The sequence below is a fragment of the Homo sapiens genome, chromosome 3 (assembly GCF_000001405.40).
Source record: "Homo sapiens chromosome 3, GRCh38.p14 Primary Assembly".
NCBI lineage: Eukaryota > Metazoa > Chordata > Mammalia > Primates > Hominidae > Homo > Homo sapiens.
This window is the reverse complement of record NC_000003.12, coordinates 108,733,170-108,757,811: the sequence shown is the minus strand read 5'-3', so window position 1 is coordinate 108,757,811 and position 24,642 is coordinate 108,733,170. Positions and strand designations below refer to the sequence as shown.

Below are 24,642 nucleotides of genomic sequence, written 5' to 3'. Positions count from 1 at the left end.
CAGAGATAAGAAAGAGCATACACTTGGGTTTGGGATAGATGATGGGTGGATTAATTTGTTTGTTAACTGCAAAGTAACCTCTTCCTGATGAAGGATCAAACAAGAAGCCTATAATACCGGCAGACCACAGAAGGCCCAGGTGCTAGCCTTATCGGGTTGCCAAGAAGAAAGGAGAAGGAGAACAAAAAGGCAGGAGGACTCCCTTGGCAGAGATCCAGAGCAAAGGCAGCTGTTGCTTCTCATGAACACTCCAAAGTTTATCACAGTCACCTGTTACCCTAGCTGGCACAGGTCTTTGAAAGTGTGCTGGGAGTGTGTTTACATGTTTGTGTGTGCTTGTATGTTAAAGGTGCCCAGGTTAATACCAGGTGTATTAAAACGCCCTTGCCTGGCTAGTCCTTGTAGACCTTCTCTGAATGTTTTGGTGAATAAATCTGTTCTTCAGCAACCCTACCTGCTTCTCCAAACTGCCTAAAGAGATCCAGTACTGATGACGCTGTTCTTCCATCTTTACTCCCTGGAAACTAACCACGTTGTCTTCTTTCCTTCACCACCACCCAGGAGCTCAGAGATCTAAGCTGCTTTCCATCTTTTCTCCCAGCCCCAGGACACTGACTCTGTACAGGATGGGGCCGTCCTCTTGCCTCCTTCTCATCCTAATCCCCCTTCTCCAGCTGATCAACCCGGGGAGTACTCAGTGTTCCTTAGACTCCGTTATGGATAAGAAGATCAAGGATGTTCTCAACAGTCTAGGTAACTGACTGGGGTAGGGGAAGCGGGGGGTTGACCCTTGCTCATTTCTCCTGTTCTTAAACTCTAGCTTTGTCTCTATCCCATCCCAAGATCCCAACCAAGCCCAACCCCTGATGAGGGCTTTCTACACTACCCTACCCGTGTTTGAAGTCTTGGCTAAAAGCTGAGGTTTTCCTGATGAGGAGGAAGAGGTGGAGGAGAATGGTAGCTGTAATTTATGAACACTCATTATGAACCAGGTATAATCCAAGTTTTACGTAGATTATTTCATTTAATTCCCACAACCATTTTATGAGGTAAGGACAACTATTACTTCTGCTTTAAAAATGAGGAAACTAACCTTAAAAGCTGATGAGTAGGCTGATTCTGGACACAGTGTCACCTCCAAGGTAGAAGACAATTTGGAAGGGGATAAGGGGATTATGGGGAGGATAGCTCATGGGATGTACCCTTTCTTCTTTCCTACTCAGAGTACAGTCCCTCTCCTATAAGCAAGAAGCTCTCGTGTGCTAGTGTCAAAAGCCAAGGCAGACCGTCCTCCTGCCCTGCTGGTGAGTAACTCCCTGAGAGGGAATGGCGACTACGATGCCCTGTATCCTCCCCTGTCCATCTCCCTGCACCTACGTCTTCCCCCATGTCAGGTCTGTATCACCCTGGCACCCTGGGGCTGAGTCATGACTCTTGGTTCCCAGAGACCCCTTGCCCATTCTTGTTTCCCTGAAGGATGCTACTGGGGGATCTTGGGCTTCTGCCTCTTCCTTTCACCCCTTCACTTCATGCCCCTGTTTCTCAGCCCTTCCTCTCCTCCATTGTCCCATAATGATCACATACTTCATTTCTCTTTCCAATCTATTCCTCTGTTTTGATGGGTAGGGGCCAACAGAGAGGTGAATTTATCACAAATCGAAGAAAACTGAAACTCCCAAGTTCCAAGTCTCTCACTTGCATGAGTCTCTTTCATGGCAGCAAATATTTGTTTCTGTGATTTCTGTATTTCTTTTCTTGAAATGAGCTCGCAAAATTGAATGAGCTTGAGGCCCCACGAAACCTAGCTCTACCCCTGACTGCACAGGGTTGAAAGATGGTTGTGGGTAGCCCTTCCTCCTCTTAAATTCCAAGAGCTCTGATGTCTGTGCTTCATGTGCTCATGCAGGGATGGCTGTCACTGGCTGTGCTTGTGGCTATGGCTGTGGTTCGTGGGATGTTCAGCTGGAAACCACCTGCCACTGCCAGTGCAGTGTGGTGGACTGGACCACTGCCCGCTGCTGCCACCTGACCTGACAGGGAGGAGGCTGAGAACTCAGTTTTGTGACCATGACAGTAATGAAACCAGGGTCCCAACCAAGAAATCTAACTCAAACGTCCCACTTCATTTGTTCCATTCCTGATTCTTGGGTAATAAAGACAAACTTTGTACCTCTCTGTGCTTATGTCATCTCTGTTATTGTCCCCAGCTTGGGGCTCCCCTATCCAGAAAATGTTGTCAGTGTCCCAGTGGTGACATCTCAGTTTGGGAAGTGGGATGGGAAGTTAGGAAAGATATGGGAAGAATGGGAAAAACAAACTGACACTCCAAACCCCCACTTCCCTCATTTTTATTTATTTATTTATTTATTTTTTTCTTTTTTTTCATTTTTTTTTTTTTTATTATACTCTAAGTTTTAGGGTACATGTGCACATTGTGCAGGTTAGTTACATATGTATACATGTGCCATGCTGGTGCGCTGCACCCACTAACGTGTCATCTAGCATTAGGTATATCTCCCAATGCTATCCCTCCCCCATCCCCCGACCCCACCACAGTCCCCAGAGTGTGATATTCCCCTTCCTGTGTCCACGTGATCTCATTGTTCAATTCCCACCTATGAGTGAGAATATGCGGTGTTTGGTTTTTTGTTCTTGCGATAGTTTACTGAGAATGATGGTTTCCAATTTCATCCATGTCCCTACAAAGGACATGAACTCATCATTTTTTATGGCTGCATAGTATTCCATGGTGTATATGTGCCACATTTTCTTAATCCAGTCTATCATTGTTGGACATTTGGGTTGGTTCCAAGTCTTTGCTATTGTGAATAGTGCCGCAATAAACATACGTGTGCATGTGTCTTTATAGCAGCATGATTTATAGTCCTTTGGGTATATACCCAGTAATGGGATGGCTGGGTCAAATGGTATTTCTAGTTCTAGATCCCTGAGGAATCGCCACACTGACTTCCACAATGGTTGAACTAGTTTACAGTCCCACCAACAGTGTAAAAGTGTTCCTATTTCTCCACATCCTCTCCAGCACCTGTTGTTTCCTGACTTTTTAATGATTGCCATTCTAACTGGTGTGAGATGATATCTCACTGTGGTTTTGAGTTGCATTTCTCTGATGGCCAGTGATGATGAGCATTTCTTCATGTGTTTTTTGGCTGCATAAATGTCTTCTTTTGAGAAGTGTCTGTTCATGTCCTTTGCCCACTTTTTGATGGGGTTGTTTGTTTTTTTCTTGTAAATTTGTTTGAGTTCATTGTAGATTCTGGATATTAGCCCTTTGTCAGATGAGTAGGTTGTGAAAATTTTCTCCCATGTTGTAGGTTGCCTGTTCACTCTGATGGTAGTTTCTTTTGCTGTGCAGAAGCTCTTTAGTTTAATTAGATCCCATTTGTCAATTTTGGCTTTTGTTGCCATTGCTTTTGGTGTTTTGGACATGAAGTCCTTGCCCACGCCTATGTCCTGAATGGTAATGCCTAGGTTTTCTTCTAGGGTTTTTATGGTTTTAGGTCTAACGTTTAAATCTTTAATCCATCTTGAAATGATTTTTGTATAAGGTGTAAGGAAGGGATCCAGTTTCAGCTTTCTACATATGGCTAGCCAGTTTTCCCAGCACCATTTATTAAATAGGGAATCCTTTCCCCATTGCTTGTTTTTCTCAGGTTTGTCAAAGATCAGAAAGTTGTAGATATGCGGCATTATTTCTGAGGGCTCTGTTCTGTTCCATTGATCTATATCTCTGTTTTGGTACCAGTACCATGCTGTTTTGGTTACTGTAGCCTTGTAGTATAGTTTGAAGTCAGGTAGTGTGATGCCTCCAGCTTTGTTCTTTTGGCTTAGGATTTACTTGGCGATGCGGGCTCTTTTTTGGTTCCATATGAACTTTAAAGTAGTTTTTTCCAATTCTGTGAAGAAAGTCATTGGTAGCTTGATGGGGATGGCATTGAATCTGTAAATTACCTTGGGCAGTATGGCCATTTTCACGATATTGATTCTTCCTACCCATGAGCATGGAATGTTCTTCCATTTGTTTGTGTCCTCTTTTATTTCCTTGAGCAGTGGTTTGTAGTTCTCCTTGAAGAGGTCCTTCACATCCCTTGTAAGTTGGATTCCTAGGTATTTTATTCTCTTTGAAGCAATTGTGAATGGGAGTTCACTCATGATTTGGCTCTCTGTTTGTCTGTTGTTGGTGTATAAGAATGCTTGTGATTTTTGTACATTGATTTTGTATCCTGAGACTTTGCTGAAGTTGCTTATCAGCTTAAGGAGATTTTGGGCTGAGACGATGGGGTTTTCTAGATACACAATCATGTCGTCTGCAAACAGGGACAATTTGACTTCCTCTTTTCCTAATTGAATACCCTTTATTTCCTTCTCCTGCCTAATTGCCCTGGCCAGAACTTCCAACACTATGTTGAATAGGAGTGGTGAGAGAGGGCATCCCTGTCTTGTGCCAGTTTTCAAAGGGAATGCTTCCAGTTTTTGCCCATTCAGTATGATATTGGCTGTGGGTTTGTCATAGATAGCTCTTATTATTTTGAAATACGTCCCATCAATACCTAATTTATTGAGAGTTTTTAGCATGAAGGGTTGTTGAATTTTGTCAAAGGCTTTTTCTGCATCTATTGAGATAATCATGTGGTTTTTGTCTTTGGCTCTGTTTATATGCTGGATTACATTTATTGATTTGCGTATATTGAACCAGCCTTGCATCCCAGGGATGAAGCCCACTTGATCATGGTGGATAAGCTTTTTGATGTGCTGCTGGATTCGGCTTGCCAGTATTTTATTGAGGATTTTTGCATCAATGTTCATCAAGGATATTGGTCTAAAATTCTCTTTTTTGGTTGTGTCTCTGCCCGGCTTTGGTATCAGAATGATGCTGGCCTCATAAAATGAGTTAGGGAGGATTCCCTCTTTTTCTATTGATTGGAATAGTTTCAGAAGGAATGGTACCAGTTCCTCCTTGTACCTCTGGTAGAATTCGGCTGTGAATCCATCTGGTCCTGGACTCTTTTTGGTTGGTAAACTATTGATTATTGCCACAATTTCAGAGCCTGTTATTGGTCTATTCAGAGATTCAACTTCTTCCTGGTTTAGTCTTGGGAGAGTGTATGTGTCGAGGAATGTATCCATTTCTTCTAGATTTTCTAGTTTATTTGCGTAGAGGTGTTTGTAGTATTCTCTGATGGTAGTTTGTATTTCTGTGGGATCGGTGGTGATATCCCCTTTATCATTTTTTATTGTGTCTATTTGATTCTTCTCTCTTTTTTTCTTTATTAGGCTTGCTAGCGGTCTATCAATTTTGTTGATCCTTTCAAAAAACCAGCTCCTGGATTCATTGATTTTTTGAAGGGTTTTTTGTGTCTCTATTTCCTTCAGTTCTGCTCTGATTTTAGTTATTTCTTGCCTTCTGCTAGCTTTTGAATGTGTTTGCTCTTGCTTTTCTAGTTCTTTTAATTGTGATGTTAGGGTGTCAATTTTGGATCTTTCCTGCTTTCTCTTGTAGGCATTTAGTGCTATAAATTTCCCTCTACACACTGCTTTGAATGCGTCCCAGAGATTCTGGTATGTGGTGTCTTTGTTCTCGTTGGTTTCAAAGAACATCTTTATTTCTGCCTTCATTTCGTTATGTACCCAGTAGTCATTCAGGAGCAGGTTGTTCAGTTTCCATGTAGTTGAGCGGCTTTGAGTGAGATTCTTAATCCTGAGTTCTAGTTTGATTGCACTGTGGTCTGAGAGATAGTTTGTTATAATGTCTGTTCTTTTACATTTGCTGAGGAGAGCTTTACTTCCAACTATGTGGTCAATTTTGGAATAGGTGTGGTGTGGTGCTGAAAAAAATGTATATTCTGTTGATTTGGGGTGGAGAGTTCTGTAGATGTCTATTAGGTCTGCTTGGTGCAGAGCTGAGTTCAATTCCTGGGTATCCTTGTTGACTTTCTGTCTCGTTGATCTGTCTAATGTTGACAGTGGGGTGTTAAAGTCTCCCATTATTAATGTGTGGGAGTCTAAGTCTCTTTGTAGGTCACTCAGGACTTGCTTTATGAATCTGGGTGCTCCTGTATTGGGTGCATAAATATTTAGGATAGTTAGCTCCTCTTGTTGAATTGATCCCTTTACCATTATGTAATGGCCTTCTTTGTCTCTTTTGATCTTTGTTGGTTTAAAGTCTGTTTTATCAGAGACTAGGATTGCAACCCCTGCCTTTTTTTGTTTTCCATTGGCTTGGTAGATCTTCCTCCATCCTTTTATTTTGAGCCTATGTGTGTCTCTGCACGTGAGATGGGTTTCCTGAATACAGCACACTGATGGGTCTTGACTCTTTATCCAACTTGCCAGTCTGTGTCTTTTAATTGCAGAATTTAGTCCATTTATATTTAAAGTTAATATTGTTATGTGTGAATTTGATCCTGTCATTATGATGTTACCTGGTGATTTTGCTCATTAGTTGATGCAGTTTCTTCCTAGTCTCGATGGTCTTTACATTTTGGCATGATTTTGCAGCGGCTGGTACCGGTTGTTCCTTTCCATGTTTAGCGCTTCCTTCAGGAGCTCTTTTAGGGCAGGCCTGGTGGTGACAAAATCTCTCAGCATTTGCTTGTCTATAAAGTATTTTATTTCTCCTTCACTTATGAAGCTTAGTTTGGCTGGATATGAAATTCTGGGTTGAAAATTCTTTTCTTTAAGAATGTTGAATATTGGCCCCCACTCTCTTCTGGCTTGTAGGGTTTCTGCTGAGAGATCCGCTGTTAGTCTGATGGGCTTTCCTTTGAGGGTAACCCAACCTTCCTCTCTGGCTGCCCTTAACATTTTTTCCTTCATTTCAACTTTGGTGAATCTGACAATTATGTGTCTTGGAGTTGCTCTTCTCGAGGAGTATCTTTGTGGCGTTCTCTGTATTTCCTGAATCTGAACGTTGGCCTGCCTTGCTAGATTGGGGAAGTTCTCCTGGATAATATCCTGCAGAGTGTTTTCCAACTTGGTTCCATTCTCCACATCACTTTCAGGTACACCAATCAGACGTAGATTTGGTCTTTTCACATAGTCCCATATTTCTTGGAGGCTTTGCTCATTTCTTTTTATTCTTTTTTCTCTAAACTTCCCTTCTCGCTTCATTTCATTCATTTCATCTTCTATTGCTGATACCCTTTCTTCCAGTTGATCGCATCGGCTCCTGAGGCTTCTGCATTCTTCACGTAGTTCTCGAGCCTTGGTTTTCAGCTCCATCAGCTCCTTTAAGCACTTCTCTGTATTGGTTATTCTAGTTATACATTCTTCTAAATTTTTTTCAAAGTTTTCAACTTCTTTGCCTTTGGTTTGAATGTCCTCCCGTAGCTCAGAGTAATTTGATCGTCTGAAGCCTTCTTCTCTCAGCTCGTCAGAATCATTCTCCATCCAGCTTTGTTCTGTTGCTGGTGAGGAACTGCGTTCCTTTGGAGGAGGAGAGGCGCTCTGCGTTTTAGAGTTTCCAGTTTTTCTGTTCTGTTTTTTCCCCATCTTTGTGGTTTTATCTACTTTTGGTCTTTGATGATGGTGATGTACAGATGGGTTTTCGGTGTAGATGTCCTTTCTGGTTGTTAGTTTTCCTTCTAACAGACAGGACCCTCAGCTGCAGGTCTGTTGGAATACCCTGCTGTGTGAGGTGTCAGTGTGCCCCTGCTGGGGGGTGCCTCCCAGTTAGGCTGCTCGCGGGTCAGGGGTCAGGAACCCACTTGAGGAGGCAGTCTGCCCGTTCTCAGATCTCCAGCTGCGTGCTGGGAGAACCACTGCTTTCTTCAAAGCTGTCAGACAGGGACAGTTAAGTCTGCAGAGGTTACTGCTGTCTTTTTGTTTGTCTGTGCCCTGCCCCCAGAGGTGGAGCCTACAAAGGCAGGCAGGCCTCCTTGAGCTGTGGTGGGCTCCACCCAGTTCGAGCTTCCCGGCTGCTTTGTTTACCTAAGCAAGCCTGGGCAATGGCGGGCGCCCCTCCCCCAGCCTCGTTGCCGCCTTGCAGTTTGATCTCAGACTGCTGTGCTAGCAATCAGCGAGATTCCGTGGGCGTAGGACCCTCTGAGCCAGGTGTGGGATATAGTCTCGTGGTGCGCCGTTTCTTAAGCCGGTCTGAAAAGCGCAATATTCGGGTGGGAGTGACCCGATTTTCCAGGTGCGTCCGTCACCCCTTTCTTTGACTCGGAAAGGGAACTCCCTGATCCCTTGCGCTTCCCAGGTGAGGCAATGCCTCGCCCTGCTTCGGCTCGCGCACGGTGCGCACACACACTGGCCTGCGCCCACTGTCTGGCACTCCCTAGTGAGATGAACCCGGTACCTCAGATGGAAATGCAGAAATCACCCGTCTTCTGCGTCGCTCACGCTGGGAGCTGTAGACCGGAGCTGTTCCTATTCGGCCATCTTGGCTCGAGATCCTCATTTTTAAACAAAAAGATGGCTGTGCCAGACATACTGCTTGGCAAGGGGTAAAGAGAAATAAAATAACACACCCTTACAGAGCTCACCAACTAGAATAACAGGCTCCGAGCTATGTGTGAGATTTTTCAAGGGATGGGCAAGCAGGGGTAGCTTTAAGGGAATCTATTTCTAGATTTTCAGTGTGCATATGTACTCTTTACTAAATTCAAGTGCCTGAGACGTGCTTTGATCAAGGTGACTTCTTTCACCATTGCCTTTCTCCCACATAACAAAAGAAAACCACAGCCCTCACCTGTCACTGAATCTTATTATCCTGGGGTATAAAAATCTGCAGAATGCCAAACAAGAAGTGATTAAAAATATGGGCATCCACAATGAGTGTATGAATGATCCAGTGATGGGGTAACAAGTCCTTTCACGGCTCGGGAGGCTTCCATGGTTTGGTCTTTATAGGATTGAAGGAGGATATAATGCAATTGTCAATTGATGAATCACCAAAAATAATTTTTAATAATAAGTTGGTGTGTGAGATTGTTGACAAGTCATTCAAAAGGAATTCAGACAAATTGAACGGCATTACTACAATAAACACTTTTTCTTTCTATCTACTTAATTATAAAAAGTAGACATGTCAAAGCTGGCAATTATGAAAAGAAATAGTAAGAATGGCTGGGTGCGGCGGCTTATGCCTGTGATCCCAGCACTTTGGGAGGCCGAGGGGGTGGATCACTTGAGGTCAGGAGTTCGAGACCAGTCTGGCCAACATGGTGAAACCCTGTCTCTACTAAAAATACAAAAAAATTAGCTGGGCGTGGTGGCTCATGCCTGTAATCCCAGCTACTTGGGAGCCTGATGCAGGAAAATTGTTTGAACCTGGGAGGCGGAGGTTGCAGTGAGCTGTGATCGTGCCACTGCACTCCAGCCTCCAGCCTGGGCAACAGAGCAAGACTCTGTCTCAAAAAAAAAAATGCTAGGAATATAATGGTTCTAGACTGTATGTCACTCTAGCGAAATGTCCATGAGTATATAAACTACTTGGGTGGGAGGAGAAGCTCTTTCTCATTTAAAAAAATATAGTTATGAAATATTGTTTGGGTTTATTAATTACTTATAAAAATTTGTTATAACTGCTCTGTTCAAATATGCACTGTTAATTATTATAATAATAGGTATACTCTTATTTATAGCTGCTGCAGTGAGTCTTTTAGAATAGAAAGCAGATAATGTCACCTTCCTGTTCAAGTCTAGTGACTTCCACAACATGAAAAAATAAAATCTCAAGGCCAACTAAATCCTGCATTCCCTGGTCACTGGCTATATCTCTAACTTCATTTGTAACCCTTGTTCACCCTGGCCATATCTGCATTCTAGGTATTCTCTGTCATAGCCACCCTCCCACCTTGAGGCCTTCCTACGTCCTGTCTCCCAGATAGTTACACAGTTCTCACACAAAAGGTCAGTGCTCAATTTTTTTCAGAAAACCTTTCGCATCACCTCTAACTCTTGCCCTGTTTTTTTTTTCATGATGCTTCTCAGTGTTGACTTCATATTCTATTTATGAGTGTATTAACTATCTCTTGCATTGGAACATGTAGTCCATGAAAGAGAAAACTTTGCCTAACTTGCACACCATTGACTCCCCAGTGCATAGCACAGTGCCTGGCCCATGGAGGAGCTATAATGAACAATGCGCCTGCTACTGGGTCTAGCTCTGAGTCTGAGTCAGCTCCCTCTTTTGCTTTCTATTCCTCTTCTTTTACCTCAATCCTGGTCATTGAGGAACAAATGTTGTTTTAATGGAGATCCTTGGGTTTAATTCTCAAAGTGTCAGTAGGAGAAATAGCTGTTCATTAGAGGGCACTCTGAGAAAGAAAAGCCAGAGAGTGAAGATGGAGGTCAGAGAGGTTAGCTATAGCAGAAGCAAAAGTAGATATTGTAGCTTTGTCCAATATAATTAGCTGCTCACTTGGTGGCCCATTTCCCCTTTCTCACTGTTAACAGAATCTTGATGTCATTCAGGGTATTGATGTGTCCAGTCCTGAAGGATAAAATATTGGTTAAACCAATAATATAACTTTCACTTCTCTTGGCCAAGTATTTCTTTTTCTAGCCACCTTTGCATGGAGTGGAGTTGCATGGGGTGGCAGGTGACCCAAATCAGACCAAGAAGACATACATGGGAGGGTTCTTCTTGGGCCTCCTGAGAAAGAATTCACTTCTTGAATTAAAAACAGAGACTCAAAATTGTCCATGTCACTTCTTGCTTGGGCTGTTGGTGTGAGGATGTGATGTCTGGAGCTGTGGCAGCTATCTTGTGTCCATGGAGTTAGTTCAATCATCCTGTGACTTTTGAGCCAAAACTGTAAGCATGGTGAAGCAGAAAGAGGAAAAAGAACCTGGAGCTGTAATCACATTATTCTACCACTAAACAAACTCTGAAATCATTTAAACTATTTTTCTTCTTAACTAAATAAAAAGTATTCTTATTCACTCATTTAACAAATATTTATTAAATTCTTTATACAAAGGCACTGGGCTGCAGTGGTTGCCAAAACAGGAAAAGATTACTGCCTTCATAGAGCCTCCATTCTAATTCTATGTCTCCCCCAGCTGAAATTTTGTGTTACTGGTCTATGGAGAGAATTAGTCAAGGGCAATGTCATGTTATCTGAACAGATGACAATAAGGGCCCTTAGATCATACTCTCTGTACCTTTTCCCAATGAAGGAATGAACAAAAGGCCTATAATGAGATATATCATCCAATTTGGTGATTTCTGGCAAAGTAGCTGCCGAGCTTGTGGGGCTGCCAAGAAGAAAAGAGAGGAGAAAGAAAAGCAGGAAGAATTCCTTAGGCAGAGAACGAGAGCAACGGCAGCTGGGACCTCTCAGGACACAAACTGGAGATTGTCCCAGGCTCATTCTAAAAGTTTGACCCTCCCAGGCTACCTTAGTTCCTAGTTACTGCCAGAGTGTGTGTTGGTGGAGGGGAGACAATGCCACACCAGACACACCGCCAGATATAAAAAGTCCCTGTCCTCCCATCTTCAGCAGCTCCTTCCTCAGTCTGGCAGGTGAACCTGAGCAAGGCTACCTTCTTGACATCTCTGCTTCGTAGGAGTGCTGGAAGGGGACCCAGGCATCCCAAGCATGACAGCTGCCTCTTCCCTGCTCCCTACAGTACCTGCTCCTACCTTTCCTGCTCCTTTCCCTCCCCTCCCCTATGAACCCAGGAGCTGCTTTTCATCTTCTCTTCATTTTCCCTTCAGCTCAGGATGCTGCCTTTTTACAAAACGAAGACCTCTTTCCACCTCCTTCTCATCCTCCTTCTCCAACTATGCCTGCAGGGGATGCCCAGTGCTCCTTACAGTTAGCTGTTAACAAAAGGATAAGAGTTGCTCTCAGCAAACTGAGTAATTGATATGGGGATGAGGGTGGAAGTTATATCCCTGATTCTCAATCCTGTTACTAGACCACAAGCCATTTCCTAACCCATCCCCAGATTCCAACCTCTAACTGGAAGATGCATCCTCAACTTGCTGCCCTCTCTATGCCTTTTGGGACTCTTAGAACCAATGGCAATGGCATTGGTAAGGACTATACCTAGCATTCTTGAGCATTTACTATGTGTTAGGTACCTTTAGATATTCTATTACTACGTTATTAACTCCTTACAAAATTCTGTGAGGTAAGCACTGTTATATTTTGCATTCCACAGAAGAGGAAACTGAGGCTTAGAAAAGTTACATAATTTGCTTCACAGCACTCAACTATTGATGTGACTTGATAATGGACACAGTGACTTATTTGCATGAGCAGAAGGGTGATATGGGATTGGCCAGTGAAAGCCCCTGTGTTTGCTCTTTATCTCTTCCCACAGAATGCAATCCCTCAGGCTGCCCAAAACATCTCTCCTGAACCAACATCACTAATGAAAGCAACCTGTCCTCCTGCCCCTCAGGTAACTCGCTGTATGAAGTTAAAGGGGATTGCCTCCCCCATGCTCATTCCTGTGTGCTGAGCTTAGGCTGCCAACCCATCGCTGTATAGCAGGCTGTCCCCAACCTCAGGATTGTAATGTTGCTGGATTGAGTCACAACCCCAATACCCATAATTTCCCTTTCCATCTTTTCATCCCAAGGGGCTACTTAGGGATCTCATGTTTATTCTCATGCTCTCCTTTCTTCCTAAATCTCCCACATCCCAAATGTTTCTGTTCCCCATTGTCCTCCATCTCACTTTCCCAATCTAATCCCATACTATTTCAACCCCATCAGAAGCGAGATTACTTTATAGGACAAAAGAAAATTGCAGGAGGTCTTCTCTCAGGATCTCTGATGTCCTTGCCCCTTCTGCCACCGTCCAGGCCATGCAGGGCACATCATCACCAGATGTTCCTCTGGCCATGCCTGTGACTCACGGGATGTCTGGGGAAAACCACGAGCCAAGGCCATTACAATCCCCTAGAGTCAACCGCTGCCCACTGCTGCCACCTCATCTAAGAAAAGAGGGCTGACACCTCAGTCTGGAGGCCATGAAGGCAACAAAATCATGATCACAACCAGGAAACCTCCACCCCCACTCATCCAAACCATAACTTTTTAACTCAAGTCTCTCTGCCTATGGCATCTCTCAGTGCTGTGTCCTTGGTGCTAGTAGCCTCTGACCTGGGTCTTCTCTATTCATAGGATGTTACCTCCATGTCACGTGTTCCAACTTCTGCTTGAAGGGGAGGCCTTAGGGAGAACCATAAGAACTGAAATCAGCTTTCCACCCTCACCACCATCATCTCATTCTTCAACAAATATAGGGCCACACTGTTCCAGGATCTGTTTGTTCTCAGCACTAGAGGTACAGAAAAGTAAAACTGTACACATGCTCTGTGCATGGTCACCATCTATAGCATTCCCTAAACATCAAGGCACATATGCTTTGTCTTGGCTTGGGAGCAACCTGGATGATCTAGTCATCACTTCTCTGATCACCAGTCACTACTTTAAAATATAGGTTCCATGATTATTTAGGTGTGGCAAGGCCAACAGATCAGGAAATGACTGCCATGGAAAAGAGGATTATACTCACAGATTCCAAGAGAAGGCGGCATGCCAGGTGATGGGGAGCCACACGGAGAAGCACTGGGGTGGGTTGGGAGGCAGAGGGAGAAAGGGGAAAATGTGGCAAGGACTTTATTTTGATTTCCATGGGAAAGGACACACAAGACAGGGTAAGAAGGATTAGGATTGGCTAGCTTCAATAATTTCAGCAGGCTCTGAGACCTAGGGGCTGCCCTTAGTTGTCTGACACCTGGCCCTACGGTGAGTAGCACAGGTAGAGAGTGGCCTAGAGAGTGAGACCCCAGTAAAGGAGGTGGGTGAAGTTATGACCCTGGATTGGTTGTTTTGCATATAAAAAGAAGGGAAGGTGAGTTGTTTGCTACCTCTAGGAATTAGCCAACCTAGGCGAGGGCCGTCCTTCCAGGGTCAGGGTCAGCAAGGCCTCAAGGTGTCAAGGCATCAGGGAAAAAAGGCATGGTTCATTTATGCACTTTTTACAGGTGGTCAGTTTTCTCACCACATCCTTCACTGAAGAAGCCTGGCATGTAATTCCCCTTTAGACTGCTATGATGCTCCCTCCATGTGGGAATTCCTACACAATTGCCTCAGATCCTTCCCAGTATGTAGAGTCTCTATGTCACAAGTGCAAGGATACATTTGGCATAATATGAGGAATTTTTGAGGCTTAAGTTGTAGGCCTCTGAGTGAAATGTAAGTACCACCTGACCACAGATTCTTCTAGCAGAGCTGAGTGCTTAAGACTCACTCTTAGAGTCAAGCTGTCTCACTATACCTAACTGTTCATTCCCCCTTACATGGGATTTAAGTGGTTTTTTTTTTCCTAAGAATCTGGAACCGGATCCTCTAATGATGTCATAAGACCTGAGCTGTATTCACCTAGGAATCATGTTGTAAAATACTCAAGAAAGCACAGGTGAGTCTTTGTCCTTGAAGAGGGCAAATTAAAGAGAAGGTGGCAGGTATCAAAGGCAGGTGGTGACTCTTCCTATTGCTTTCTGATGTCTCCAAGGCCAATCCCTGAATGCATGGCCCCTCTAGGGAATCATGACCCAGGATCCCAAACCACTGGGAGAAATCTTCACTCTGCTGACTCTGGCATGCAGCACAAATGAACCATCACCTGCTTCAGACACTAAACATGCAATGACAACTCATCCCCCACCCTTTGTAATCTGCAATCATTTATCCCAGGCTGACTGGTTCTCAACATCTCTGGTAAGAAAGAGGGCATAAATCATCCACTGTTATAGAATCGCATAGCCTATCACCCATGATTCATAGACATTCTACTTCAATTCTACACCAGAAACTTAACAATAAAGATTCCTACTTACTGGATGTATTGGCAAAAAGAGAAAGGTTAAAACAGAACCAATATCCAATGCTGATATTCTCTTCCCCATGGGTCCAGTATGAAACACTCTCACAAATTTAGGTATGCTTCTCCTCCAAATGGGAATGCTTATATCAGTTAGCACATAGTGGTTCAGCTTGTGGTTCCATGAAGTAGGGTGTCATAATTTCTCTCCTTGGAAGAACTATAAAAGTATGATTGATTTTCAGATTCTCATCCTAACAAGAAGGTGGTAACACCAATGCAACAACTCTGGTGGGATCAGAAATTAGATTTTATAGTGCTGTTGCCTCCTCTCCTCACCACCTCCAGCCTCAGTACAACCATTACCCATTGCAGCAAAGCTCTTGCTTCTCAAAACTTCATTTCTCTGAAGGTTTTTATCTTATTTATTTATTTTTTTAATTAACAGACAGAATCTTGCTCTGTTTCCCAGGCTGGAATGCAGTGGAATGATTATAGATCAATGCAGCCTCAAACTCCTGAGCTCAAGCAATCCTCCTGCCTCAGCTTCCCAAGTAGCTGGGACTACAGATGCGTGCTCCCACACTTGTGTGATGGTTAATATTGAGTGCCAACTTGGTTGGACTGAAGGATGCAAAGTATTGTTCCTGGGTGTGTCTGTGAGGGTGTTGCCGAAGGAGATTAACATTTGAGACAGTGGGCTGGGAAAAGCAGAACCACCCTCAATCTGGGTGGGCACCATCTAATCAGCTGCCTGCACAGCCAGAATAAAAGCAGGCAGAAGAACGTGGAAAAACTAGACTGGCTGAGTCTTCTGGCCTCCATCTTTCTCCCATGCCGGACACTTCCTGCCCTCGAACATCGGACCTCAAGTTCTTCAGCTTTGGGACTCTTGGACCTTCAACCACAGACTGAAGGCTGCACTGACGGCTTCCCTACTTTTCAGGTTTTGGGACTCGGACTAGCTTCCTTGCTCCTCAGCTTGCAGATGGTCTGCTGTGGGACTTTGCCTTGTAATCATGTGAGTCAATACTCCTTTATAGACTCCCCTTTATATATACATCTATCCTGTTAATTTTGTCCCTCTAGAGGACGCTCACTAATACACTTGGCTATTTTTTATTTTTATAGAGAAGAAGTATCACTAGGTTGCCCAGGCTGGTCTCAAACTCCTGACCCCAAGCAATCCTCCCAAAAACCCAAAAGGTTTTTACTTTTTTTTTTTTTTTTTTTGAGACGGAGTCTCGCTCTGTCGCCCAGGCTGGAGTGCAGTGGCGCCATCTTGGCTCACTGCAAGCTCCGCCTTCCGGGTTCACGCCATTCTCCTGCCTCAGCCTCCCGAGCAGCTGGGACTACAGGCGTCCGCCAACACGCCCGGCTAATTTTTTGTATTTTTAAGTAGAGACGGGGTTTCACCGTGTTAGCCAGAATGGTCTCGATCTCCTGACCTTGTGATCCGCCCGCCTCAGCCTCCCAAAGTGCTGGGATTACAGGCGGGAGCCACCGTGCCTGGCCTAGAACAAAGGAAATTTTTAAGAAATCTATACACTGTTTAGCAATCTTTGCTAATTTGTTATTCATGGATAAAGGTTGGGGAGGTTGTGCATTCCAGAAAGGAAAGAGAAAAAAAATTAAAGTAAGGCCAAAATGTGTGTATGTGTATGTGTATGTGTGTGTGCATTTAGTTCTCCTTACTTTGTATTCAAATGTTGAGTACACCCCACATAAGCTTTGGATGCTGCCCTTTAGATACCTAAAATAGCATAGGCTGTCCTCTCTTTACACTAGAATAGTGGTTCTCAACCAGAAAACTTGGAAATATCTGGAAACATTTTTGGTTGTCACACCTGGCAGAGGCAAAGTGATATTGGCATCTAGTTGGGAATAGACCACAAATGTCAAGAAACTTCATGCAATGCACAGGTAAAACCCCCACTGCCAACAAAGAATTGCCTTGCATGAACTGTCAATAGGGCCAAGGGTTAAGAAATCCTTCCCTAGAATGTGTGCTTCTATCATCAGACATCTCACTCAAAAGGAATACTATCCTTCTAGAGACCTCCATTCTGAAGCTAACATATAAGTGTCTACACTCCCTAATTCTCACAAAGGTTGCTTGTAACCTAAATCAAGGCACAATGGTAATAGGGAATCCCAACATTTTCCCAATAGCTGATGTTAACACTTCTGCATTACATACTAACAATCAGAAGCATATTTCTTACACATGCTTAAATTGGCCAGTGAATAAGTATCCGAAAGCTATTTTGAGGGGCAGATTTCCAATTCTGCAGAAACCATAAAACTGGCCCCAACAGGAAGAGATTTGAGCCACCAGTGAATTGTGTTTTATAGGGCTGTATGCCAACTGCTTTTATTCACTTGTGTGCTCTCTGAATGTTAGAAGCCAGCTTCTGCACATTTGTGCAGCAGAAACATAATGGGTACCATTTGGTAAGACATTGATAATGTAGTAAGCCATCATTCAGCCCTTATTTTTAGCTGTCACATATCCTACTTTTGAGATATTAAGTGTTAGTTTTAGCTAAATAAATCCCCTCTTAGGTGAGAGGGATTTTTATTTTTCCCTCTGGCAAATCCCATAAAGAGGAAATGCTGAAGCACATGATTGATCTGGGAAGGAATATGTTAGTGCTAAGGCTTGGACCTAAGCCCTGGGTATATGGCCTGGAGGTAGAAAAGAAGGCCCTTGATTATGAATAGAAACTCCTGTAAGGCCCTAAGTAGACTGAAAAGGCATCAGGAAGACAGTTCTATAAGGCCACAGGAGCTACTTGCCTAAGCCTCGAAGACTATTTGCATGACCCACGATATAATTTGAGGGAATCTAAGAAAGTTCTCGTTTTAAAAAATGTCCCTGTCTTTTCTGCCTCAAATGCTACCATTAGATTCACTTGTAAAGTGAAGGTGACCAGAAATCTCTGATTCTTCTAGTTAAATACACACATGCATAGAAAGGGTCTCACTTTGAGGCTTACCAGACAGTGTTGTTTGTATAATGGAAGGAACGATAGAAATTAAGGTAGAAAATCTACCAAGGCAAAGTTTACAGTATTCGCTTGGGTCAGCCCTGAAGCTCAGCCTTAAAGGAAGAAGAAAAGGGTAGAGAGGGAGAGTCATTCTCTAATGGTCAAATCTATCTGGGAGAGGGCACCACAGCTGAGGAGAAAGTGTTAGAAATGGTAGGGATGTGAGTATGTGCTTGTGGGAGGCCAAGAGTGAAGGGCTGAGGGAGAGGGAAGAGGAGGCTGAGCACCACCTGAGATTGAGTGTGCTTAGGTGCAAAAATTAGGTTGCCTCCCTCCACAGACTGAGAGTTTCATCAAGAAAAGTTATTATACATATGGCTTAGGGGCTTCACTAATTATGACAAATCCTAAAAGAAGAAGTTTGTGAACTCTTATTAGCCTATGATTGGTTGGCAGGATTAAGATGGACAAGCAGGAGGTTTCATAGGGGAGGAACTTGATGCAACACTTAATGGCCTGTTTATCTCATATAAGCAACGAACACCAGAGGCATAAGTAGGATAAGCACAGATGGTGAGTCAATTCAGTGGTTAATAACCCACTGACTGTAAAATTGTGTAAAATTGTACACTCCCAGAGAAAAATACACATTGGTAAACTATATTGGGTGTGGTCTCCTCTAACTAGAATTATTACACTTAAAAGAAAAATAGGGCCGGGCATGGTGGCTCACACCTGTAATTCCAACACTTTGGGAGGCCAAGGTGGGTGGATCACGAAGTCAGGAATTCAAGACCAGCCTGGCCAAGATGGTGAAACCCCATCTCTACTAAAAATACAAAAATTAGCCAGGCGTGGTGGCAGGCGCCTGTAGTCCCAGCTACTTGGGAGGCTGAGGCATGGTGGCGGGCGCCTGTAATCCCAGCTACTTGGGAGGCTGAGGCAGAGAATTGCTTGAACCCAGGAGGCAGAGGTTTCAGTGAGCCAAGATTGCACCACTGCACTCCAACATGGATGACAGAGTGAGACTCCATCCCAAAAAAAAAAAAAGAAAAGAAAGAAACCATCAGTCTTAATAATCATAATAATAGCTGCTTAAATTGTATAAAGTACCCACATATAATTTATGAAGACATTAAAAAGACTTACTGATGTAGCAGATTTTTTGAAGTATAACCAATACATTTTTGCTCCCACTAACAGCTGCTTCCTAGTTTTCCCAGTTTCCTCACCCATTGAATCATGGAGTCGTTTCTTAGATTTGATTCTGAACATTGACTTCTTTGAATCTCCAGATTCAAAATAGTGTTTACAAATCCAGATTTTCTGAAAGAGAAACTTTGAACTGAATTCATAAATCTTTTTTTAACTAAAAATAATTCAAAGTCTGATCTCGTAATCTTACAAAAAAACAATGTCCCATATCTCAATTCTGCCATGGAAAAGCCAAACATATTATTCATATTGTTTGTGCCATTCTTCTTCCAGTAGTGTGATTCAGGCATCAGAGTTGCCACCTCTTAGATGAAGTTTCCACTGCTCAAGTACCTGTCTCTCTTACACTGAGAAGAACTACAGATTTCACTCTGAGGATATCATCCGCAGGAGGGCGGTTATTGGGGTGGGAAATTGTATGGTGATGTTTGTCTTTGATCTGTTCTCAGATCTTTTATAGAGCTTTCCTTCCTCCCCTCTTCCACCATGTATGTTCCTGGACTTCAGTCCAATGTCGGCTCCTCGCAGATTCCTTACTTCTAAGGCTGTTATATTAGAAATAGGGATGTTATCGGTGGAAGGTATCTGAGTTACTGGCAATGAATTCTGCAGCAACATCAATTCTTGCCTCCTCAGAAGAAAGAATTTGACGGAGGGGCATAAGGCAGAAAAAGAGACCAAGGCAAGCTTCACAGCAGGAAGTTTATTTAAAAGGTTTTAGAATAGAAAAGAAAGGAAGGTATACCTGGAAGAGACCCAAGCAGGCACGTGAAGGTCAAGTGCGATGTTTAACCTTGATCCCAGGACTTTATAGGCTGGCCCACTTCCTGTGACTTGCACCTCTTTCCCATAATTCATCCCTTAGGGTGGGCTGCCCGCATGCACAGTGCCCTCCTTATGCTTGAGAAGTGAGTACACACAAGGAAGTTGTACACATGCCCCTTGGAGGTTTCCTTCCCTTTTCCAGTGATACTTCACCATCTTGCCTCTTAATGCTCTTGCCCTTGCTTACTTGCCCAATACCTGAGATTTTATTGGAATCCCCTTTTTGCTTCTCCCTGGCACCTGCATTCAATTCACACTTTACTGTTAACAGGTGTGGACCATTAGGAGATTGTCTCTCCCCAGTGCCCTTTGCCAATTTATCACTTTTAGAGAGGAAATGTGATGATAATTGCCAAGCCATCACCCAACAATCCTAGTGGGTGGGGGAGAGCCCTCTCCTGCCCCATTCATGCCTGTTTAGCTACCTGTGACAGGAAATTTAGCCATCATTGGCTCATTTTCTTGAAAGACTCAGATAGGATAGTGAGGACTGGTTGCTATTGCTTACGTACTCCATGTCACTAAATGAATCAAAACATTCTCTGCCTTGGACATAATGACGAATGCAATGTTATCAGATTCATAGTACATTTTGGGGGCAAAATATACTCAGTTTTGGGAACAAACATTTGCTTCTTTTTTATATGACAAAAATTATGAGAATTTTCTCTGTTACACCATATTTCAGGTTTCAGCACATGCTGAGGTCCGAGGGGAGTGGGTGGGTGGGTGGCAGATAGCTGAAAGAACACTCAGGGTCCATAAGCAGGTGAAATATATGGCTTTATTATGTTTTCTGTCTCCGTCAGCCTTTGTCTCGGCTGCCTGCTCTGGCTGCTGCCACCTGCACGCTTACAGCTGCACTCCCTGGCCTGCAAGGAGGTGACTCTCCCTTACAGAGTCAGCAGCTTAACCCTTTCTCTCTGTGGGAGCAAGCTGTATGTACAGCATCAACAAGGCAGTTATACCTGTTACAGACAATAGTGACTCAGAAGCAAGTATGAGCTTACACAAACAGGTTATGTAACAACGGAGTTATGTGTCTGTGCTCCAAACTCACCGAGTTACGCTGGTCCAGATGCCTGCCTCAGCCTACTATCAACTGCAGCATATTCATTTTCCTTACATTCTCCAAAGAAAAAAACAAAAAAACAAACAAAAAAACTTGATAAATTAGGTGACATCTAACCTACTTTTTCTTTAAATCCCATCACTTTACGATATACTTTAATGATTACAAACATAAGTTAAAGAACTGCAATATGAATCCACACATAATGGACTAATCTTTGCTAAAAAATCATGGAATGAAGATAAAGGAGAAAGATTACATAAGAGAATGTAAAAGGACGATAGAATACTCTAGGAAGGGAATAAAATAAAGATGGCATTACTGGTCTGGATAATATGACGTAACATGTTTCACCCTGCTACATCCTGCTAAGTAAATGATCAACCCTGGCAATAATGCAGGAGGCAACCAAAGGCAAATTCTGAACAGTGGAAGGCAAGGCAAACTGATTCTAGACCCCAGGGCTGGAAGAATAACATGTTGGTAGTGGTTATCACAAACCCCCACCCAACAGATGAAGGTCATCCGGGTCTAGCATTTTCTGACTTCAGCCTAGCAATGGAAGGTGACATAGGTAGGCTCTCGGTTTTCCTGGAATAAATAGTTGTCTCACTGAAATACTAGGTAAGCTCAGCAGTACTAGCAGTGGGGCATTTGGAAGCCCCAATGACAATTGACAACCAGGAGAATAACACCTTTTCCCCTGAGACCCCCCCGCAACCCATCAAGAGACATCAGGAGGAAAAGCAACACTAGCAGGAGGGATCCTGCCACAACAAGCAGCCAGCCCAGAAAGCTCTCTTCCCACATTGATAGGCACCAAATGGCCCAACCCGGGGAAACTTTCTCTTTCCTCTTAGGCAAAACCAGCAGCAAGCAACCCTATAGATCCACAGGGGTAGGAGTATGTGTAAATTCCTACGACCAGGGCACAATCCCTTAGGGTCTGGGAAAGAAACTGAAGAGGAGTCATTTCTTAGGACTAGGCTCTTCTTTAAGGTCCTCAATTAAAGAAGCCACAGGAAAGACACCTGGACACCTCTGCAGGGACAGCCCTTCTCTGAACAACAAAGATCAGTTGCAGGACCAAGGTAGCATTTGATGCTGAGAAAATCCTTTCTTCAAATATTCCTTGTGTTTTCTGGCTCAAATTCTACCATCAGTTTAATTTGGATAGGTTTAGAAATCTCTGAGTGCTCTAATAAATAAAAATAACTACTTTGGAGCCTTATCAAACAGTGTTGTATGCATAATGGGAAGGGCTGTGGAAACTAAAGTGGAAAAAAATCACAAAGGTAAATTATATTTATGACACCATTTACTTTGTGGTTCTCATGGAGCTAAGCCCTGAAGGGAAGAAGGGAGAAAGAGTAAGAATATGTCTACTACCAAGAGCTTCCTGAGAGAGGGAACTCTGAGGAGAAGATGATAGAAAGTGTGTGAAAGTGAGGATGTGCTTCAGGAGAAGACATGAGTAGATGGGGTGCACTTAGTGCTCTGAAGGCTGCTTGAGACAGAGTGTGCTTACATGAAAGGACCTAAATGAAAGGGCTACATTTCTTCCAAATACAGGCTGAGGAATTATCTGTGGGAAATGCTCTGATAAGCAAGATTTAAGTGGGGATACGGAAAGCATGGAAAATGTTTATTTAAAGAAGTCAAAGTCCCTAGGCAGCACTGGGACAGACCAGAAATAGGAATCACAGTGAGGGGAGGTGTTACCAGAAAGGGGTCCTGATATGGTTAGGCTTTGGGTCCTCACCCAAATCTCATCTTGAATTGTAATCCTCATAATCCCCATGTATTGAGGGAGAGACCAGGTGGAGGTAATTGAATCATGGGGGTCGTTTCCCCTATGCTGTTCTCATGATAGTGAGTTCTCGCGAGATGTGATGGTATTTTAAGGGGCTCTTCCCCCTTCACTCAGCACTTCTCTTTCCTGCTACCTTGTGAAGAAGGTGCCTTCTGCCATCATTGTAAGTTCCCTGAGGCCTCACCAGCCATGCTGAACTGTGAGTCAATTAAAACTTTCTCCTTTATAAATTACCCAGTCTCAGGCAGTTCTTTATAGCAGCATGAAAACAGAATAATATGGGTCCTGATTCAGGCCCCAAGATTGGGTTTTTAGATCTCACACAAGAATGAATTCGGGATGAGTCTATAGAGTAAATAAAAGCAAGTTTAATAGAGAAGCAAAGAACCAAAAGAGTGGCTACTCCATAAGCAGAGTGGCCCAGAGGGCTGCTGGTTGGCTATTTTATGGTTGTTTCTTGATTCTATGCTAAACAAGGAGTGGATTATTCATGAGTTTTCCAGGAAAGGGGTGGGCAATTCCCGGAACTGAGGGTTCCTCCTCCTTTCAGACCATATAGGGTAACTTTCTGATGTTGCCATGGTATTTGTAAACTGTCATGGCACAAGTGGGAGTGTCTTTTAGCATGCTAATGCCTTATAATTAGCATAAAATGAGCAATGAGGACCAATGGAGGTCACTCTCACCACCATCTTGGTTTTAGTGGGTTTGGGCTGGCTTCTTTACTACATCCTTTTATCAGCAAGGTCTTTGTACCCTGTACCTTGTGCCAACCTCCTATCTCATCCTGTGACTAATAATGCTTAACATCCTGGGAACACAGCATAATAGGTCTCAGCCTCATTTTACCCAGTCCCTATTCAAGTTGGAGTTGCTCTGGTTCGAACGCCTCTGGCAGAGGGACTTAAAGAAGCTAAGTTTATGCTCACCTGAAGAAGACAGAGCAAAGGTTTAAAGTAAGTAATAAAAACTGAGAGGCATGAGAAAATGCAACACTACAGTGGAAAATGATCAAATACATTGTTTAACAAATCATACAGACAATGTTTGTGCCTGATAATCTGTCAATCCAAGTGTGGGGAACAGGGAGCCTGGGGAAAAAGTAGTCAACTCTCAGCTTTGGGTTTCAAAACTGGCATCTTTGAATCCACAGTGAGGCAATATTCTTGACAGCAAGAATTTCCTGGAAAAGATAAGGGATGTTCTACATTCTAAAGCCTTGGCTTTACATAATAAGGACAAAGAGTATAGAGATTTACTTTAAACCATCAGGCAGATAAGATGAAGGTTACACTCTTGGGGAAGTCCTTTACCTTATTTAAAGAAGTCCTTTACCTTATTATTATTATTTTTTATTTATAAAAGCCCTTTTCTGCTAGAATATGCTTGGAGAGATTCAGAGGGCATAGAACTACATAGAGAAACTTCAAGAAGGGACCTCAAGTCATCTTCAAGGGGTCTTCACATACACGCATACTCCTGCCCTATTCTGAGCCGTGGCTCTTCAGAGCCAGGGAAGGATGATAGACATTTTGATAAAAATCCTAAATAAGCTCAGAGTGAATTGAATAACGTCCAGACTAGTGTTCTGCTCCCAAAATTGCCTGGGAATTGTAGAATAGTTAGGGAGAGGTAATAGATAATAATAGATAATCCTGAGATGGTTGGGGAGGGTCTGCAAATAGAGTATAGAAAATCCAAAAATATCAGTGATGGCAAATGGAAACGCTAGAAGGACAAGCAAACAAAAAGTTCCTGGAGTCTAGACCAGGAGGACACAGAATATGAGAAGTTCATAAATAAGATTCTGGATCAGGGATCCCCTCCCTCTGACACCAGGAAATTCTCCCTGTACGCAAACCATTTTTAGAAGACAAAAGGGAGCAGAGAACTCCTTGAGATAGAAGAGCCATG

General features: G+C 43.3%; 1 protein-coding gene and 1 long non-coding RNA gene across 3 annotated transcripts, besides 1 other annotated feature; both read left to right on the top strand.

The window, feature by feature from the left end:
* Window positions 1–401: 401 nt before the first annotated feature.
* On the top strand, window positions 402–2,174 carry RETNLB (resistin like beta). The gene is made up of 3 exons (NM_032579.3): window positions 402–753; window positions 1,224–1,304; window positions 1,907–2,174. Exons 1-3 carry the CDS (start codon window positions 627–629, stop codon window positions 2,032–2,034), a joined length of 336 nt encoding a protein of 111 aa, NP_115968.1. The 5' UTR covers window positions 402–626; the 3' UTR covers window positions 2,035–2,174.
* A 7,375-nt stretch (window positions 2,175–9,549) lies between these two features.
* On the top strand, window positions 9,550–15,323 carry LOC105374034 (uncharacterized). Of its 2 annotated transcripts, none has more exons than XR_924323.2 (6): window positions 9,550–9,876; window positions 12,301–12,381; window positions 13,109–13,529; window positions 14,321–14,408; window positions 14,505–14,710; window positions 15,286–15,323. It is a non-coding gene; the product is annotated as an uncharacterized LOC105374034 (long non-coding RNA). The 2 variants fall into 2 exon arrangements; XR_924322.3 differs by lacking the exon at window positions 9,550–9,876 and adding an exon at window positions 11,158–12,010.
* Window positions 12,511–13,710: an enhancer, noted in NCBI's record as "BRD4-independent group 4 enhancer chr3:108462949-108464148 (GRCh37/hg19 assembly coordinates)". NCBI's record gives its function as "activates an origin of replication core promoter dependent on BRD2, P300/CBP, MED14 and CDK7 cofactors, and independent of BRD4, by STARR-seq in HCT116 cells {active_cell/tissue: HCT116}" and the evidence as "EXISTENCE:reporter gene assay evidence [ECO:0000049][PMID:35650434]".
* Window positions 15,324–24,642: the final 9,319 nt, after the last annotated feature.